Raw genomic sequence first — 19,766 nt, 5'->3', positions numbered from 1 at the left:
TTTAATTTTCTTTAAAAAAAAGTACGAAGATTCATTAAAAATATATGTGTGTATATATATATATATTTGTCCTAATCTTGATGAGAGAAAGAAATTATAAAGACGGCAGAAAGTGTTAGTGTCATTCTAAGTCAATATTTCCCTTCCAGGACTAAAATCTTCCTTCCACATTCATTTTTGTCATCGTTAGACCAAGTGACATGCAGGAGCCTCTGCAATTACTAGCCAGGCCAGCTCTTGGAGAAATGACCATCACTCATAACATGGCTGTGGCAAAGATGTAGCCAACAGGCCAAATCCAGCCAAGCTGTCAGTTTCTAGGGCTTCGGCAGTACCTTTTTGTTCTGCCAACACTCCCTTGAGGCTAGAGAGCATGTGGTCCTTCACTGCTTTCCTGACAGCTGCCAAAGTATGCACACACTGAAGGATGCAAGGTTCTTCTTCCAACTGGCATGGCTGGGACCTCCCTCACTGGCTACAGAGCAATCTCACTGCTGACCCCTAGGGGTAACCCTTGTCCACCTGGAGTTTTCTGACCACCTTTCCTGAGACTGAGGGGAAAGCCAGGGAATCCTTCAAGCCCCAACTGTGGCTTCTTCAGTTCTTTTTAAAACATAAATCAAACAAAGCTCTTTCTGTCTGATGGCCATTTTAGGATTTTAAAATCGCTTTAACATGAATTTTTTTTTCCTATAAGTATTCCAGGCTCTTTTCTCTTATAAGGCATTATTTTTCTTCTGTTAAAAAGTCCCCTGTCCTACCTTCTACATAAAGCACTTATTATGCACCAGTGTGTCCTTGACACCTAAGATCTGAAGCAACCATGACAAAGGTACAGAGGGAAGGAGGGAAGGGGGAGAGAGGAAGGGGGAGAGAGAGAGAGCGTGAGAGAGCAAGGGAAGGGTAGGATGGGAGAGGGGAGAAGGGGGAAAGCTGTCCATTGGAGATTTTGTCTTCACGTCCATGTGGCTGCATCTCTTGAGGGTGCACTGAAAAACCAGACCTCATCGAAAGGTGGAAGGGGGGCAGGGAGCAACAGAGGAAAAAGACAGGAAATGCAAAACAGTTTCCATCTCAGATATAAGAAGGCCCCAGATGACAGAATTCCAACTGATAGAAAAACCAGCCAACAAAGAAGATGCTGGAAAATGGAAAGTGTTGGGATTACAAACTCGCACATCTTATTGGTATACAAACTGGTCTTTGCACATCCTTTGTGAGAGCAATGGTGCTGTCCAGATTGTTAAGGAAAACAAACCAGAAAACACCCCAAGGAAGAGGGCTGGTGTTTTTTTTTTTTTTTAATTCCCTGTTTGATCAGAAGCATTTGCTTCTCTTTTTTTGGCACAACTTTTAAAATTTCTTTCTGACCAGCCATCACAGAGCCTCTTCCGTCACCTCGAGCTGCTGACTTGCTGCTTCCTGGGCTAAATGTCCTCGGTGGAAACCATTCTCTCCCCCTTTAATAGGACTGTTCATTTGCTTCTGTTTTTGTTTGCTTTTTAAAACTTCTTGAGGCCAGGCATGGTGGCTCACACCTGTAATCCCACATTTTGGCAGGCCAAGGTGGGTGGATCACCTGAGGTCAGGAGTACGAGACCAGCCTAACCAACATGGTAAAACCCTGTCTCTACTAAAAATACAAAATTAGCTGAGCGTCATGTCCGCATGCCTGTAATCCCAGCTACTTGGGAGGCTGAGGCAGGAGAATCACTTGAACCCAAGAGGCAGAAGATGCACTGAGCCGAGATCACACCACTGCACTCTAGCCTGGGCAACAAGAGCAAAACTCCAACTCAAAAAAAAACAACAAACTTCTTGATAAAGATTATGAAACATATACACTCCTGTGGCCTGGGACAAGTTGGTTTCAGAATATACTCTAACACAAGTCAAGTTCACACATTTTGGAGCTGATAGAATTGTGTTTGAACAGAGCTGCAACCCCATGCATTCAAGGCAGGTCATTAGAATTCTTTTCTTTTTTTCTATATTTTGTGTTTACTTTCACAGATCCAGAACACACACCTGGAAGGAAAGACAAAGTACTTGTCATCTTCAGAAATAACCCAAAGATGCCTTTAGAGTGAGAGGTCAGCAAACTACGGCCCTCATGCCCAGTCTAGGTCTCCACCAATTTTTGTGAGTAAAGTTTCATTGGAACATCGTTATGAAGGATCAGAGAAGCTCTCATAACAGACTGGCATATGGACATTGGACCAATCAAACCAAAGCAAACAGCACATAGCAGAAAGGCCAGGTTAAGAACAATTCTAGGAATTAACACAGTGGGAGAGACAATTGGCAGGGGTCCCAAAACAGACACCTGCAACTGTGGGGCAGATGGCAACACAAGCCCAAATACATGATCTCTGACGATATTTGGGGGCTACACTGATGCCTGGACAGTCAGCCAGACTGCTGTTGCCTCAGAGGTAAAGGCAATCTCAAGTCCAGGGGCAAATAAAAAATCCAGATGCCCCATGGGAGAAGAAGAGTGCCCAGGAGACCTGCTGGATGGCCACCAGAGGCCCAGACTTCTCAGCCTCAGCATGGATGAAAACTGGGACTGCCCTGTTCATGGTAGGAGTTTTAGTAGCATCACTGAGCTCTGCCCACAGGATGCCAGTGGCATCCCCAACTAAGCAGTCATGTACCACATAATGACCATTCCATCAACATACCTCACAGAACACGGTAGTCCCATAAGATTATTATATCATATTTCTGCTGAATGTTTTCTGTTTAGATAGGTCTAGATGCACAAATGCTTATCATTGCATTACAGTTGCCTATAGTATTCAGTACAGTCACCTGCTGTTCAGGTATGTAGCCTGGGAGCAATAGGCTTTACTGTACAACCTAGGTGTGTATAGGTCTTATCATTTAGGATTGAGTCAGTTTACTCCATGATGTTCAGACAAAGATAAAAGCACCTAACGATGCATTTCTCAAAACACACTCCCATCATTACACAACACATGACTACAGTGACAACTTAAAATTCCTCCACATATTGTCTAATGTCCTCAGAGGTGCAGAATCACCTTGGTTGAGAACCACCAATTTAACTGAGAAAATGTTAATTAGAAGGACATTCTGGAAGGGACAAGGAGAAGGCCATTCCCAGATGGGATCCATCCTAAAAGCTTCCCTCAGCACTGGGCTAGACCCTTCAGGACATGAGCAACACACATGCCCCTCACTTAGGCATCAGCTGCCTGACTTCACTTAGGCATCAGCTGCCTGATTTCACTTATCCCCCTCCCCCAACACCCTGTTCCCTGGTAAACCAGAGGTGTTGCTTACAGAGCCATCAGACGCGCTGGCGCCCACTTTATCTCCTCGGGCGTTCCAGCACACCTCGAAGATACCGCCAGTGCCTTGGTAGCTGTGGACGAGACTTCCACTCTGCAAGGCAAGGTAACTAACTATTACTTATAGTGAGAAGGGCACCTGCAACAGATGCAGGTGTGGAATGTGCACTTCTCCTGCCCCTAATATTTGATCATGAACATTTTCAAGCATGGTGAAATTTAAGGGTTTTTAATAAGTGCTCTGGGGGATGCAGAAACATGTCTTTTGGATTTCCCACAACAGGAAGTGAATCTGATTACTACTGCCCACAGAATCCACCATCATATTCAGATATTTGGGTGGATTCTGAGACTGTGCCCAGCGAGGACTGATGGAGGTGGGAGAACTCGACAGGTGTCTGGGAGTCATCTGTCACCTAGGCTGGAGTGCAGTGGCGCAATCTCAGCTAACTGCAACTTCAACCTCCCAGGTTCAAGTGATTCTCCTGCCTCAGCCTCCCAAGTAGCTGCGATTACAAGCATGTGTGACCATGCCCAGCTAATTTTGTATATTTAGTATAAAAGGGGCTTCACCACGTTGGTCAGGCTGGTCTCGAACTCCCAACCTCAGATGATCCACCCACCTCAGCCTCCCAAAGTGTTGCGATTACAGGTGTGAGATACCACACATGGCCAGCTCACGGACTTCCTATAGACCTGTAAGGCCAGGGGTCAGACTGACTTTATGGTCTGAGTTCTTCCTTCTCTAGCTCTTTCCCTGTTTCCATCACAGCTGTTTCTCCCAATAAATCTCTTGCCCATCTAATCCTGTCTTGGTGTCTGAATGAATACAATTGACCTGAATGAATACAATTCACCTACCAGCAAGGGAATTGACAGTAATTCATCATTAAATGTATTAACATGTTGGAAATTGAAATGTAATTTTATGTTTGAAAGAAAATTGCGTAACATATGTGTAACAGAAAACATTCCAGACCTTTGCTTCTGGTTTAAAAGAGCATTAACTTGACATATTCAAGAGGTGAGGAAAATAGAGGGCTTTGAAAGAGTCAAATAAGGCCAGGTATGGTGGCTCATGCCTGTAATCCCCAGCCCTTTGGGAGACTGAGACAGGAAGATTGCTTGAGCTCAAGAGTTCTAGACCTGCCTGGACAACACGGTGAGACCGGTCTGTACAAAAATTAATTTTAAAAGTTTTTATAAAAAAGAAGAAAGGGTCATATAAGCCTTCACTCATGATTCACTAATGGTGACAGGCAGGATAAATCTAAAGACCAAGACCAGGAGGGCTGTCTCAAAACCTGTTCTCAACTGGGCTCTTTAAAGGTAGTGTCTTGAACTAAGACAGGTGCACACCAACAGTATTATAGATAGATATTTTTATACTTACAGAACATTAAAGTGGGCTTTAAGATTTCTTTTAAGAGAAACGCTAAGCATTTCCTTGATTTACAAGAAACAGCTGAAATGATTCAGTGAGTTCTTGATGATAAGCTCCTCCTAACTGATTGTATCATTTTTTTTTGATGATTGACATATTTTCACAAATCCACCCATTACTATTTCTAGCAAGGATTCCATGAACAGAGACTCTTGCACACTAGTCCCGAGATGCATGCTTCCCGGAGGGCTACCTAGGGCTGTGGGGCTGGGCTTGGCATTGGGTTGGCTCTACGCAGGGTCCACCACTTCCCTTCCTTCCCTGAGAGGATGTGGTTCACATGAGGTCCCTGGGAAGCCTGTGATCTCAGTGGACCCCTTGCCAGTGAACATTGCTCATCACCCATGAGTACACAGGGGGAATGAACTTGAGGATGTAAATGCACCTGAATGTCAACCAAGCCAAAAACACCCAAAATGAAAATGCAGATGAATGGGGGAGGGGCCATGTGATCCCTCCTAAGATTAAAGGGACCCCTTGGTTATTTTCAATAGCTCCTAGAGCATCATCACTTCTCTCTCAGAATAAAATGAAGTGTTGTACAGTCCTTTCCAAACTGCCCTATACAATCCTTCATGCAGTGCAGTACTCGTTCCCATCCCTTTTTCTACTCTTTTTAGTGGGATTCTCCTACCCTCAGGTGTGGCCCAAGATACCCACAGCAGCCAGCCACCTTCACTCAAATCCTATGTCCTTTCAGTCCATGGCAAAAGGACAACCCAACATACACACCTTACTTACTCAAACAGAAACTTTCATTTGAAAAATCTAAGTGGCATGACAACAGCAAACACACATTCCTTCCTACTCCCGGATCTTCTCTATGGTGGAGCTGCAGGAGCTGGTGTGCGTGGAGGATGTTGAGTTGGCCTCACCCCTGTTAGCTGCTCCCCCACTCCCACCCTCCAACCTCAATATCTAGAAAGCAGCATTTTGGTGATAAGTGCTAAGAAGAGGAAGAGGAAGGTGGAAGGTATCGTGCCATGAGCTCAGAAAGTGAACAGAAGACAGTGGCTCCTTCAAGGAAGAACATGTGCCAAGGTGAGGGTTTGGAATCAAATGGCCAAGAGCCCTGAGGACAGCAGACACGATGCCCTTCCTTAGGGAGAAGAGCTGCTGGAGGTGTCTGGTGAGGGAAGAGCTCACAACCCACATGGGGTGCAAGATGGACAGCATCTACTGGGTCTGTCCGGGAAGCCTGGGCTTGCTCTACTCCCTCAAGGGCACTGCTTTGAACCAGAGACACTGGAATAGTGGCTGTTCAGGCATCCCTTACTAAAAGGATTCGTATGGGTCAGGAGCTTACCTGAGTATTCCAGATATGAACATACTTGTCAAAGGATCCACTAGCCAAGTACTTTCCATCGGGGCTGAAAGCTACACTGTAGACAGGCTCTTGATGCTTCATGAGTGTGTGGGTGCAGACACCTTGCTCCACATCCCACAGTCGCACTGTAGAATCAAATGAAGCACTAGGAGGATGGGAGAAAGCCAGGAGTTGAAGACCAGGCTGGGCAACATGGTGAGACCCTGTTTTTCTTTACATATATATATTATATATATATAATATACATAAAAAATATATAACATACATATATAAAATATACATAAGATATGTATATAAAATATATAAAAAATATAAGCTATATAAAAAATATAAGATATATATCATATATAAAATATATATGATATATAAAATATATGATATATAAAAAATATAATATATGATATATATAAAATATATGATATATAATATATAAGATATATATAAAATATATAAGATATATATAAGACATATATATAAAATATATAAGATATATATATAAAAGATATATATATATTCTTCAAGCAACAGGAATTTTTGTGTTTTCTGAGACGGAGTTTCACTTTTATTGCCCAGGCTGGAGTGCAGTGGGGTGGTCTTGGCTCACTGCAGCCTCCGTCTCCTGGGTTCAAGAGATTCTCCTGCCTCTGCCTCCCAAGTAGCTGGGATTACAGGTATGCACCACCATACCCAGCTAATTTTTGTATTTTTTAGTAGAGATAGCATTTTGCCATGTTGGCCAGTCTGGTCTCGAACTCCTGACCTGTCATCTGCCCACCTCGGCCCCCAAAAGTGCTGGGATTACAGGTGTGAGCCATGGCACCTGGGCCAAAACCATGGTAACCTCAAAGGTAGGATGGTTTTGGCCCCTTCAAAGTGAGCTACCACTTTGTTTCCTCTGAAGGGCTTCAACACAGGTGCACAGACACACTTGAGCAAAATTTCTTGTTATCGTTGTGTAGGGCGGAGCTGTACCAGTTGTGCTGCCGGCCCTTACCTTGCCAACATGATGCTGGAGTTTGGGTTGCTGGTGGCAGGCCCGGTGGGGCTCCACTTGATGGTGTAGATCTCTTTGCTGTGAGCCTGAAGATCGTGGACGCATGCATCCTGCTTCATACTCCAGATCTAAAGGACACACCGGCCACAACATGAGCAAAAGCCATTCCTGCACCCGGGAATGATGTGGCATCATTCCTCCGGGGTGCATAAGTGAGGCTAATGGCCCACGGCGGGATATGGGGTGTGCAGTGGTGAGAAAGGATGCGGGGAGGCTGGGATTCTCAGTAGGACGCTGACTGAGAAATTGGAGTTCACCGGATGACAGAGGAAGGGAACGTGGTCAGTAACAAATAATCCTCATGCAAGTGTGACTGTGAGACTGACGTCAAGTGCCCAAGGCTGTCTGAGATTAAACAGCCCACCCCTTGCCATGCTGACTCTACCTTCAATGTCATGTCATCCGAGCAGGACGCCAGCAACATTCCAGAAGGATCCCATTTGATGGCATTGACCTCGTTCTGAAACAGAGCGGAGAGTCTCTTGAAAAATATATCAGGACCTGTGAGTAGATGAGGTCGCCTTCCAGCAGGGGGCAGCAGCGCGCCACCGTCGCTGCAGAAGGTCTTAGGCCTCAGCCTGACATCAAAGAGCACAGCCCAACCAGCCGTCTAGTTTCCTCTTTTTCTCACTTTGCCTTTTTCATTTATGTAAAACCACAGCCCTGTACCACACATCACCAGCTACTCTCATCCATACTTTGTTAAGAAGAAAACCTTCCCTGCTAGGAAGGAAAGCAAGTGAAGAATTCATATACCATAAAACACAGCAAATAAAACCAGTTATTTTAAAAGCTGGGCTTTGAAAATTACTTTCGTACGCACTCTTCCTTTTTTTTTCTTTTTCTTTTTTTTTAACTTTTGAGGCAAGCTCTCGCGGTTGCCCAGGTTTGAGTTCAGTGGCCCGATTCTAGCTCACTGCAGCCTTGACCTGCTGAACTCAAGTGATCCTCCTGCCTCAACCTCTAGCTTGGACTAAAGACAGGCCCTACCACACCCAGCTACTTTTTTTTTCTCTTTTGATGGAGATGGGTTGCTGAAGCTGGTCTTGAACTCCTGGGCTCAAGCAATCCCCACCTTGGCCTCCAATGTAGGTAGCTGGGATGAGAGGCAGGCACCACCACACCCAGCTTTTTGTGTGTGTGTCTGTGTGTGTGTGTGTCTGTGTGTGTGTGTGTGTGTGTGTGTGTGTGTGTGTATTTTTTACAGAGATGGGGTTGCCCAAGGTGATCTTGAACTCCCAGGCTCAAACAACCCTCTGGCCTCAGCCTCCCAAAGTGCTGGGATTACAGGCATGTGTTACCATGCCAGGTCTCCTATGCACTTTAATCTAACAGTTCCTTCCCATGTCTACACCCATTACAAGGCATTGCTCTCCTGCCGGTGAGTGGAGGTGGAGGGAGGGATAAACACAAGAAGTGAAGCCTCAGCTATTGTGGAGCTCAAGCAGGATAAGGGCTGACTCAGGTGAAAGACGGGTGACCAAAATGCACATACAGGCAGACACACATGTGCAAGGGAAATGAGAGGCAAATGCTGAGCAGCAGAAGCCACACAACACAGGCAAAATCCTGGCCAGGGGCTCCTCATCCGCTGCAAACAGCCAAGTACCTAAAAGCACAGGGTGAGCGCTCTAACCCACAGGCTCAGGACACCTGGGTACGCTGAGACTAAACCCTGGAGGATAAAGGCAAAAGTACCCAGGGACCAAGGCAGAAAAGGACACACTGGGACAGACACACATAAAAGAATCACTTGTGCTGGGCACGGTGGCTCATGCTTCTAATCCCAGCACTTTGGGAGGCCAAGGTGGGCGGATCACGATCAAGAGATCAAGCAGTCAAGAGATCAAGACCATCCTGGCTAACATGGTGAAACCCCGTCTCTACTAAAAATACAAAAGTTAGCTAGGTGTGGTGGCGGGCGCCTGTAGTCCCAGCTACTAGGGAGGCTGAGGCAAGAGAATCGCTTGAACCTGGGATGGGGAGGTTGCTGTGAGCCGAGATCGTGCCATTGCACTCCAGCCTGGGCAACAGAGCTAAACTCCATCTCAAACAAACAAACAAACAAAAGAGAACCATTTGCAGCAAAGGTTCAGCTGGGGAACAGCCTGCCCAGGAGAAATGGGGCAGGATCTTTTCTGGGGGGGTGACAATAGGGTCCCATATGCCCCAGACAGCCCAATATCTGATGCCTATTGTCCTGGCATTAACTAATTTCACACTGAAAATTAATTTTCTAAATATTTTCAAACTCCTGAGGGCTCCAATTTGGATGGTAAACTGTATGGTCATGTTACTTTCTAAGGACACAGACACTGAGTTTTGAAGGGTGTGAACGGGACAGTGACAAGCCACCTGTGTGCTCTATGTGGTATGGGTGGCCCAGGAAATGGAGAAACAAGCGTGATGGCCAAGGAATAGGCTGCTGTGAAATCCCAGGGAGGGTGGAGGGGGCTGGCTGGAGAGGGGCCTGACAGAGTGTCAGCCTGCAAAGGTGTCTATGAGAATGGATGTGTCTTCCAGGAGCAGGCTGCTGGGATGGAGGGGAGGGCAGACAAGGCCTATTGAAGAGGGGGCTGTGAGCATGCTTATGTGTCTATGAGCATGGATGTCTGTTCCAGAAGGCTGCTGGGAGAATCTGGAAAGGGTGCAGCAGACCGGTTGGAGAGGAGGCTGACAGTGTGAGCAGGCTTAGGTGTCTATGAACATGGACATATGACCCAGGAGCAGCCTGCTGGGAGAGCCCAGGGAGGCAGAAGGGGCCTGCTGAAGAGGGAGATGAGAATGTGCTTAGTGCCTGTGAGCATGAATGTTTGTGCTGGGAGCAGACTACTGGGAGAGACCAGGGAGGGTGGAGGGGGCCACTGAAGAGGGGGCTGAGAGAGTGAGCATTCTTAAGTATGTGTGAGTGTGAATGTGGGTGCTAGGCTAGCAAGAGTGACTCTCACTGCAGCTGTGGAAAGGAAATCCCACAGGCCCAGAATGTGGAGCTGGTCACCTTGGCCTGTCTGCATCCAAACTCACATAAAGGAACACATTTTTTCTTGAGAGTTGATCCTACAGCCTCCAATCCAAGTCCCAGTTCCTGGGTTGCCTCCAGAGCTGGCTTGTAGGTCTACACTCAACCCCAGTGACTTGGAGCTTTGTTTAGGGCCATCAGCCACAGTATGACCCACTTAAAGGGTCAAGTCCCATGCTGGTGGCAAGGTCTGGAGCAGGACAGTTGGGAACCAGAAACAGTGTGTGCAGCTCTCTCAAAAACTTGAGGATAGTCCAGGGTTAGAGGAGAAATAAATTTAGATCAGAAAAAGAGTCAGTTTGGAGCCAGGAGATGTAAACAGGATAACAAATGCCTGTGCTCTAAAAGTGCCTTCCTTTGGGGTGGGGAACCTTGGCCCAGGGGTGGGGTGAGATGGGCACTAGGGGAAAGAGAAAAATGGAATTTACATCAGTTAAGTTAGTGACATGATGGCAAATCTCCAGGAACGCGATCGTCCTCTCCTGCTTTAACAGGGGATCCCCCAGCTCCTAGCAAGGAAAGATATTCTGGATGCTGGTGAGAGAAAGGCAAGACGCCATGGGCCCTCCTGGGATCACTGTTGATGTGCTCTGCATTTTCTGGGAGAGACAGGCACACAGGCCAACAGCCACTGTCAGGGCTGTGGTATTCACATGGGCAATGAGAGCTCAGGAGGTGCCATGAATTATCCCAGGGGTGTGCACAGGACATGTAAATGGGCCTGGAGGATGGAGAAGAGTCTGTATCAGACTGAGGGCTGCTGTGGGAGTCTAAGTCAGGGACTGTTCCAGGAAGGCCTTAGCATGGGTTGAGGTGCTTGGCTGCACATGTCTTTAGGAAGACAGAGGCACAGGGTGTTTTGGACACTAGCCCAGGAGGCTGAGACTAATAAATGTGTTTAATGGTATACCGGCGATTGCAGAAGTAAGGTAAGAGATCATAACAATTGGAGAATTTGAGAGATATCTGATGAAAAGACCAGAAAGAGCCTCAGAGCCCACAGTAAGGAATTTGTTAAGTTGGCTGCTATTCATATTGTTGTTCCTTGGTATACAACAGGACCTTTTTCAGTCTTTGCTTGCTTTTAGGATTTTCTTTGTCATTAAATTTGATGTTTGATAACCATATGCCTAGGTGGGTAGGTGTGGTTCTGTTCATATTTATTCTGCTTGAGATTTCCTGAGCTTCTCAAATTAAATGATGTTTTCCAACAAATTTAGAAAAAATTGGCCATTATTGCCTCAAATGATTTTCCTGTTTCATTCTTTCTTCTTTCCCCATTATGCACACATCTTTAGGCTGCCTGATATTGTCCCACAGGCCCGTAAGCCCCTATTCATTTTTCAGTCTTTTATGTGTTCTTCAAACTGGCAAATTTCTGTGATCTCTAACTTTACTTCTGCAGTCTTCAACCTGCTAGTAAACCCACTGATGAAGATGGATATTTTTCCCCACCCAAATCTCAGGTTGAATTGTAATCCCAATGCTGGAGGTGGGCCCTGGTGGGAGGTGTTTGGATCAAGAGGGCAGATCCCTCATGGCTTGGTGCTGTGTTCATGAGAGTGAGTTCTTACGAGATATGGTGGTTTAAATGTGTGTAATACTCCACAGCCCCTCTCTTTTGCTCCTACTTTGGCCACGTGAGACACCTGCTCACCTTTTACCTTCTGTCATGGTTGTAAGCTTCCTGAGTCCTCCCCAGAAGCAGATGCTTTCTATACAGGTGCAAAACTTTAAGACAATTAAATATCTTATAAATTACCCAGTCACAGGTATTTGTTTATAGCAATACAAGAACAGCCCAATACACCCACCTACTAAGATTTTCAATTGCGACATTATACTTCTCAGTTCTCAAATTTCCTTTTTTAAAAAATTAATTTAAACAGATCTCACTCTGTTGCCTAGGCTGGAGTACAGTGGTGTGATCGCAGTCACTGCAGCCTCAACCTCCTGGGCTGAGACAACAGGTGCACACCACCACACCTAGCTTATTTTTAAAATTTGTTTTGCAGAGACAGGGTTTTGTTGTATTGCCCAGGCTGGACTTGAACTCAAGCAATTATCTGGCCTCGAGCAATTATCTGGCCTCAGCCTCCCAAAGTACTGGGATTATAGGTGTGAGCCACTGTTCCTAGCCTTGATTTTTAATGACGTATTTTTTTCCATTCATTGCAGATGTGCCCCATCTATTCATTTATTGTGAACATCCCTTCCTTTATGTGCCCTATGTTTTTCTCATAGCTACCTTATAGGCTTTGATGCCAAGTCCACCAACTACACCATTTCCAGGTCAAATGTTCTCAACGCACACCCCAAAGTGGTTGAATCCATCCACCTGAATTGGCCACTATAGCTCAAGCAGCCAAGGGCTGCAGAAGAAATGGTCTGCTGCTGCAGTATATTTTAATTCTAGGCATACAAGAATTGGCTCCCACATCACCTTCTCATGAACTCGAGACCAGTGACAAGAGCTCTCACTTACTGTGTGTCCCTGGAAGGTTTTGACTGGGTGGTCACAGCCGAGCCTGCACACATGGATACACATGTCTGTGCTACAGGAGGCAAAGGTCATGTTGTTCTGCCAGTCCACATCAAGGGCGGGGGCTGCAGCAGGGAGGGAGGACATCTGCAGTTATTCACTGTGTGCATAGCTCTATGGATTTACAACAATGAACAGCAGAGTCAAGAAGCCTCTTTAGTTTACTTATTTATTTATTCTAGAGACAGGGCCTGCTCTGTCACCCAGGCTGGAGTGCAGTGGCTTAACGGCTCATGGCAGCCTCAAATTCCTGGGCTCAAGAGGTCCTCCCACCTCAGTGTCCCAACCTCAAGGAATCCTCCCGCCTCAGCCTCCCGAGTAGCTGGGACTACAGGTGTATGCCACCACACTAAGCTAATTTTAAAATTTTCTGTAGAGATGGGGTCTCCCTACATGGTCCAAGCTAGTGTTCAACTCAAGCAATCCTCCGGCCTTGGCCTCTCATGCCTATAAGCCCAGCATTTTGGAAGGCCGAAGTGGGAGGTTCATGAGGTTGAGATCAAGACCATCCTGGCCAACATGGTGAAATCCAGTTTCTACTAAAAAATACAAAAATTAGCCAGGTGTGGTGGCACACGCCTGTAGTCCCAGTTACTTGAGAGATGGAGGCAGGAGAATGGCTTGAACCCAGGAGATGGAGATGCAGTGAGCCAAGATTGGACCACTGCACTCCAGACTGGCCACAGAGCAAGAATCCTGTCTCAAAAAAACACCAAAAAAAAAAAAAAAAAAAAAAAAAAAAAAACAAACAGTCCCGTGTGTGATCACAGTTTCCTTCCTTCCTTCCTTTCAAGACCTTAAAGACCCTCTCCTGCCATGTTGGCAGGGATGACAAGATGTCCTAGAAAAAAGGCTTCATGACATTTCCTGTGCCCCAGGGCCTGCAGAATCTCCTGCTCCCATGGCACAGATAAGAAGGGCAGGTGAGAGAGCTGCCCTGCCTACTCTGCACCTGGCTGCTTCCAGCAGTATCACTGCAATGAGCTAATTTGATTCTACTTCAGACAGAAAGGAGAAAAAAGGAGAGGAAGAATTTCTTGCCCTATTTTCAAGATACCTCAATATATGTAAAAAAAAAGCCTCCTGAAATCCATTAATGCATCCCACTGACTGGGAGATAATTACAGTCAACAAGAAACCCTTTGGGGATGAAATAGGACATATGCCTCAGGGCCTGTGACCAACACTCTCCCTGACTTTGAGCCTTTCTCAGGTCCAGGTGGTTCAGAACAACGTAAAGCTGAACTCCCGTTGTATAATTACAGCTGTGGGTCTTGTTCTCTCCCTTCTGGTTTCTTTCCTAGGATGGAAACTAGAAATCTGGCAACTTCCCAATGCACCAAAATGTCCAGGGCCCTAGTTAAAAGCCAGGCTCTGGTTCTGTCCTCAGAAGGTCTGACTTCACAATGCTGGACCATGTCCTGAGAGGCACTGGAAATATGGGTGACAGCAAGGGCACTGAAGTCCTAGCAACTGGGCCTCATTCCTCATTCTGCCCCATTACTGACATGCAGCTGCAGGTCAATGGCTTCCTGGAGTCTCAGCTGCAGACGCAGATGTTGCAAGTTGTCCCAGACAAGGGGGGAAATGAGCAAGATGAAGCATCTCAGGAGATCAGCAAAGTGCCCAAGACATGGAATGAGCTGGGGGTGTGGAAGTTCCCATAGCAGGTGCAACCCTGCACTCTCATCCTTTTTTGAGTCTGGGGAACTGTGATTTCAACTGCTCACTCCTATCCTCTAGCAGAGAGTGGTGGGGGTGAGAAGCTGTGGCTGTGAGTGGCTATTTCCCTTCCTCTCAGATGCTCACTGGCAGCAGGGATCACTGGCATTCCTAGGGGCCAGCAGGCATGCTGTGCTCAGATCCCTGGCCTCTCTCCACTGCAGGGGCCATGCCAGCAAAGCACTCCCTAGACTCACTCCCACCTCATGACAGAGAACTGATAAGCAAGAAAAAAGGCCATGGGATGCCAAGATGGGAGGACACAGGGGAAGAGGTGCCTTCTCAAACAATCTCCTCTTTTCCCCTGAAGACTCTGAGCAACCCACTCTCTTATTAAGGATCATCATGAGACTTTTCATATGTAGAGGACCTCTGAACCCAGCTGTGTGCACAAAACCCTGATTATCAAAGGGACTAACTTAGGGATGTGAAAAGTACTGTGTTCAATTACATGTAAAATGCAGAGAAAGGCTCTCCCTTCCTAGGGTTCATGCTAATTAAAGAGGGTAATGCCTTAAGGAGCAGGGAGCTCTGGGTTTTGAGGGCTACCCATCAACATCTGACCAGCTCTTCTATCCCTGTGCTTCCCACACAAGCCAGTGGAAATTACTTTTAGCTACTGAGTGGGCTCCATGATGTACCAGGAGAGAAGGTGGGGTTATGGCAATTCTACAAGAATGCCCAACCAAGAACTCTCATTGGTTTTCCTAAATAGTATGGTCCATTCTGTTGTTTGCCAAGTTATATTTCCCAAGCTAGCTGCAAACACTGAATTAGCCAACACTGAAGAATTGCTTCTAGGGAAAATAGAGGGTTAACTTCTGCTAGGCTCTGGCCACAATGTCCTCAACAACTGACCAATACAGAAGCCCATCTTATGTGTCTTTTTTTTTTCCTTTGCAGATGTGGTCTTGCTCTGTCATCCACGCTGGAGTGCAGTGGCACAATCATAGCTCACTAGAGCCTTGAACTCTTGGGTTCACTTGATCTTCCCACCTCAGCCTCCAGAGTAGCTAGGCTGCTAGTGTGAGCCACCATGCCTGGCTCATTTAAAAACAATGGTTTTTGGCAGAGACAGGGTCTTGCTGTGTTGTGCAGGCTGGTCTCAAACTGCTGGCCTCAAGCAATTCTCCCATGCTGATGTCCTAAAGTGCTGAGATTACAGGAGTGAGCCACTGTGTCCAGCTGTGTGCATTTCTTAAAGGCAGTCAATGCTGAACTGAGAAGAATCCAGCTTTCTCTGAATATCGATTGCCCTGGCCCTTCCTCAGTCTCTAAATGAGAGGTGCGACCCTCCATGAGTTTATTGTCCATTAGTGCAGGGACCCCATTCACTTCCCCATCCAGCTTCACCCCCAGGCAGAAGGTGTGTGTAGGAAGATATGGGTGTCAACAGTAGTCTTTTCCACAGCCGAGATCATCTCTTTCATTGCTTCCTCAGGAGCATGTTTCATGACAGTTCTTGACCCATTTTCCTAGTTCTTGTTTACAACATTGCCTGAGGTAAATGGCAAATTCCTGGTCCAGTCTCTGCTTCAGGCATGCAATTAATATACCTGGAAATGTGACAATGTGGTGAGCAGTCCAGAAGATGGTGACCAGCACTTGATGACTCTCCCATCTAAAAGGAAGGCCCCTTGTCCTCAGGCAGTTGGCCCTACTCTGAGTCAGCTCCAGCAGCCAGGATGCTTGGAACCATATGGGTGAATGGCCAGTAAGAGGGCTGAGCTATGCTGGGGGACTCTGCCCTCCCTGCCATGCATAGGCCAGTGTGCTTCAATAGCCCTAATTCTTCTGGGCCCAGTCCAACATTTTCCTTCGGAAATACTAAGAGATTTACAGGAAGCTTCAAAGGTAACACAGACAGGTCCTCTGTCTCCTTCATCCAGGTTCCTATAATAATTACTTTTTGTGTAGCTGTAGACTTGTATAAAGACTGGAAAGTTGACATTGATGCAATTTGCCTATAGAGTGCTCTGTGTCATTTTTTCACATGGGTAGATGTGTACGGCTGCAATTGAGACCCACAGTGTTCCATCCTCACTAAGATCTCCCTCATGCTACTGTATCAGCAGGCCACTGTTCCTCACACCCTTCCCAAACTCCTGCACCACTGCTCAGTCCCTGGTTTCTCTCTCTCTCTCTTTTTTTTTTTTTTTTTTTTTTTTTTTTGAGATGGAGTCTTGCTCTTGTTGCCCATGCTGGAGTGCAGTGGCACGATCTCAGCTCTTGAACCTCTTCTTCCTTGATTGAGGGGATTCTCCTGCCTCAGCCTCCTGAGAAGCTGGGATTGCAGGTGCCCACCACCAGGTCGGCTAATTTTTTGTTTTTAATAGAGACAGGGTTTCACCATGTCAGTCAGGCTGGTCTCAAACTCCTAACTTGAGATGATCCACTTGCCTCAGCCTCCCAAAATGTTGAGATTACAGGCATGAGCCACTGCACCCAGCCTCTATCATTTTATCATAGTGACAATGTTACATAAATGGAAACATGGGGAAAACACAAGCCTGCCACAGCCACAGAAGGCACTCCTCACAGCTCTTCACAGCTGTGTTCCTCCTGGAAGAGTGAGCTTCTTTCTCTTCATCTTGAACTGCCTGACACCAAACAGCAAGCAAGAAATGCCTAGACATATCCTACCTACTGATGGGAATTGGATCTACCTCGTGGCCAGCCAGATTATAGGTAAGAAGAAGCTCATGCAATTCAGAACATGCAGTTTGTGGTCTTGTTGGGCCAGCGGGGAGAAAATCCTTCCATCAGTCTCTGGGGTCACTTTGGGAAGGATTATTTTCTGCTGAAAGACAACACAAATTCCTAAGATAGAAGAATTAGAGAAACTTGGCCATGTGCGGTACCTCACACCTGCAATGCCAGCACTGTGGGTGGCCAAGGCAGGTGGATCACCTGAGGTCAGGAGTTCGAGACCAGCCTGGCCAACATGGCAAAACCCCATCTCTACTAAAAATACAAAAATTAGCTGGGTGTGGTGGCGGGTGCCTCTAATTGCAGCTACTTGGGAGGCTGAGGTGGGAGAATTGCTTGAACCCAGGAGGTGGAAGTTGCACTGAGCCGAGATTGAGCCACTCTACTGCAGCCTGGGTGATGGAGTGAGACTCAGTCTCAAAAAAAAAAAAAAAGAATTAGAGGAACCTCACTGATGTTTACCTTGGGCATATTTTTCTCTGAAAAACAGAAGTCAGATCTTTCTGCATTAGACATCCCCCCTTACTCCCCAGGTCTGCATGTCTGGTATTCTAGGGATGTGAATTTGTTACGGAACCCTTCCTGTCCGCAAAGGTAGATTTTGACATTTAAGCCATGTGATGGAACTCTAGCAGTAATGGCATTCTCACTAGACAGCTGCTTTGATTTGCACAGTCTAGAACACAGAGTAGCAATTGTCTGGCATGGAGATGACATAGAGATCACAAGCTGTAAGTGGGGTTGCCAGGGGGCAGGGGAAAGACTGAATAGGTAGGGGGTTTCCATTTTAGGGTGAAGAACATTCCTGGATGAGGTCATGCATGTGCTGCCTCCATTTGGAGCCATTTGTCTCCAGTATGCTCAGCACCATCTACCTCATCAATGGTGTTCAATTAAAGCAACACCAATAAAGAATTTCACCAGCAGCCCTAGAGGTGTATTTGGTGTAGGTCCAAAGCTGTACAGGATTGGCCACAGAAGAGATTCTCTCCCTCTCCAGGACAGCAGAGCAGAAACAGTGTCCTCACTGGGTCTCCCTTACTCTCTGAGCTGCCTGTATGAGGAAGCTCATTGAGTCCCTGCTACAGTACTGCGTGGAATAACAGATGTGGACGCCTACACATCATGCCTCAACAGGACTTTTGGCTTATGATCTTGTTTCCTGCAGGACCCATGTCCTCTGCTTGCAGTCCTCCCCAGGCACTGAGATGGGCTACGCCATCTTGGACAGTCCTGGAGGTTACCCTCCCATTCAGAACATCATTTAAGCACCCCAACTGTCCAACAAGAAAGACACTCAGATATCCTCCTGGACCATGCTCCAGGGACAGCTGATAAAATAATCAACTTTTGCTGCATACATTGAGGGATTCCCTCAAGATGGATCAGACATTCGTCATTAATGGAAGTGTCACCTACCCCCTTTTGTCCATTTTAAATCAGTCTAAAGTCATCTGGGTAGCTGAGATTACAGGTGTGTGGCACCATGTCCGGCTACCTCATCGTCCTGTCCCAACCCATCCCGTCCCATCCCATCTCATGTTTTGTAGAGACAGGGTCTTGCTATATTGCCCAGGCTGGTCTTGAACTCCTAGACCACGTCTAGGAGTCTCACTTGAGACATGAGACTCAAGTGGGCCTCACGTCTCAGCCTTCAAAAGTGCTTGGATTATAGATGTGAGCCACTGCACCCAGCCTAATTTTGAATTATTTTCAAATTACAAAACACAAACATAAAGACTCACCTGAATGAAAAGGAAACTGCTGTTTGGCTTCTCCTGTGTGAGCATCCCAAATTATTGTTGTCTGTGCTCCGCAAACAAAGGAAAAGTTAGTAATTACTCCCACAAAGTTTACTCTAGTAACATGTATCATACAAGAAAAGACAGTGAGCCTCTCTCCTTATAAACCAGGACTGTCCAATACAGATAGAAAGCAAGCCTCATGGGTTAATTTTAATTCTCTAGGATCCATATTAAAAGTTAAAAAAAAAACTGGTAAAATTCATTAACAATCTTTTATTTCACTCCCATACGCCTAAAATAATACCATCTCAACATGTAATCAGTGTCAAACTCTTACTGCACTATCTGCATTCTTTTTCTTCCATCCTAACTCTTTGAAGCACGCCATGTTTCACACTTAACAATCTGGACAGCCACATTTGATAAGCCCATCAGCCACAGATGCTGGTGTCTGTTTTAAGGTCAGGGCAAGCCTAACCAATACTTGCAAGAATACCAAAATTGGTGGAGATTCTTCCTCATCCCCAAGTGCAGAAAACTGTTGAAAAACCTAGAACAAATCATCTCTAAAGATATTTTGGCACTTTTCCAAGTGCAGGGCTGCATAAAAGGTCATTTCTAAAAATGCCCTTGCCTGTGATTCCAGGAACTGGGGGCACTAGAAATGGGGACAGAGCCACTGGCTTGCACTGGGGCTGGGCATCAATGTACAGGTCTGTCAGGATGGAGAAAAGGTGATTTCCACCTCAAAAAATGAAGTAGATCATGAATTCTTATGGACTTATACTGATGCTGGGAATATTATTTAGAGAAGCAGTTCAATGAATAGCATTAGAATGTTGTCTTCATCAGCTGGAATTTTCAACTTAATTATAAAGTTTACATCT

At 46.2% G+C, this 19,766-nt stretch overlaps 1 protein-coding gene across 3 annotated transcripts in view; it reads right to left on the bottom strand.

Moving 5' to 3' along the window:
• Positions 1-1,816: 1,816 nt before the first annotated feature.
• The window catches only part of TBL1Y (transducin beta like 1 Y-linked), a 180,987-nt gene continuing 163,037 nt past the window's right edge, over positions 1,817-19,766 (bottom strand). For all 3 annotated transcript variants that reach the window (NM_033284.2, NM_134259.2, NM_134258.2), the window contains 7 exons: positions 18,880-18,940; positions 12,647-12,768; positions 7,528-7,602; positions 7,083-7,210; positions 6,068-6,233; positions 3,310-3,411; positions 1,817-2,028 (listed from right to left, as the gene is read on the bottom strand). In NM_033284.2, coding sequence (NP_150600.1) covers positions 2,008-2,028; positions 3,310-3,411; positions 6,068-6,233; positions 7,083-7,210; positions 7,528-7,602; positions 12,647-12,768; positions 18,880-18,940 — 675 coding nt within the window. In that variant the 3' untranslated portion in view covers positions 1,817-2,007. The remainder of the gene's footprint in view (positions 2,029-3,309; positions 3,412-6,067; positions 6,234-7,082; positions 7,211-7,527; positions 7,603-12,646; positions 12,769-18,879; positions 18,941-19,766) is intronic.

This window comes from Homo sapiens, chromosome Y (genome assembly GCF_000001405.40).
Source record: "Homo sapiens chromosome Y, GRCh38.p14 Primary Assembly".
Lineage (NCBI taxonomy): Eukaryota > Metazoa > Chordata > Mammalia > Primates > Hominidae > Homo > Homo sapiens.
This window is presented reverse-complemented; position numbering and strand designations above follow the sequence as displayed.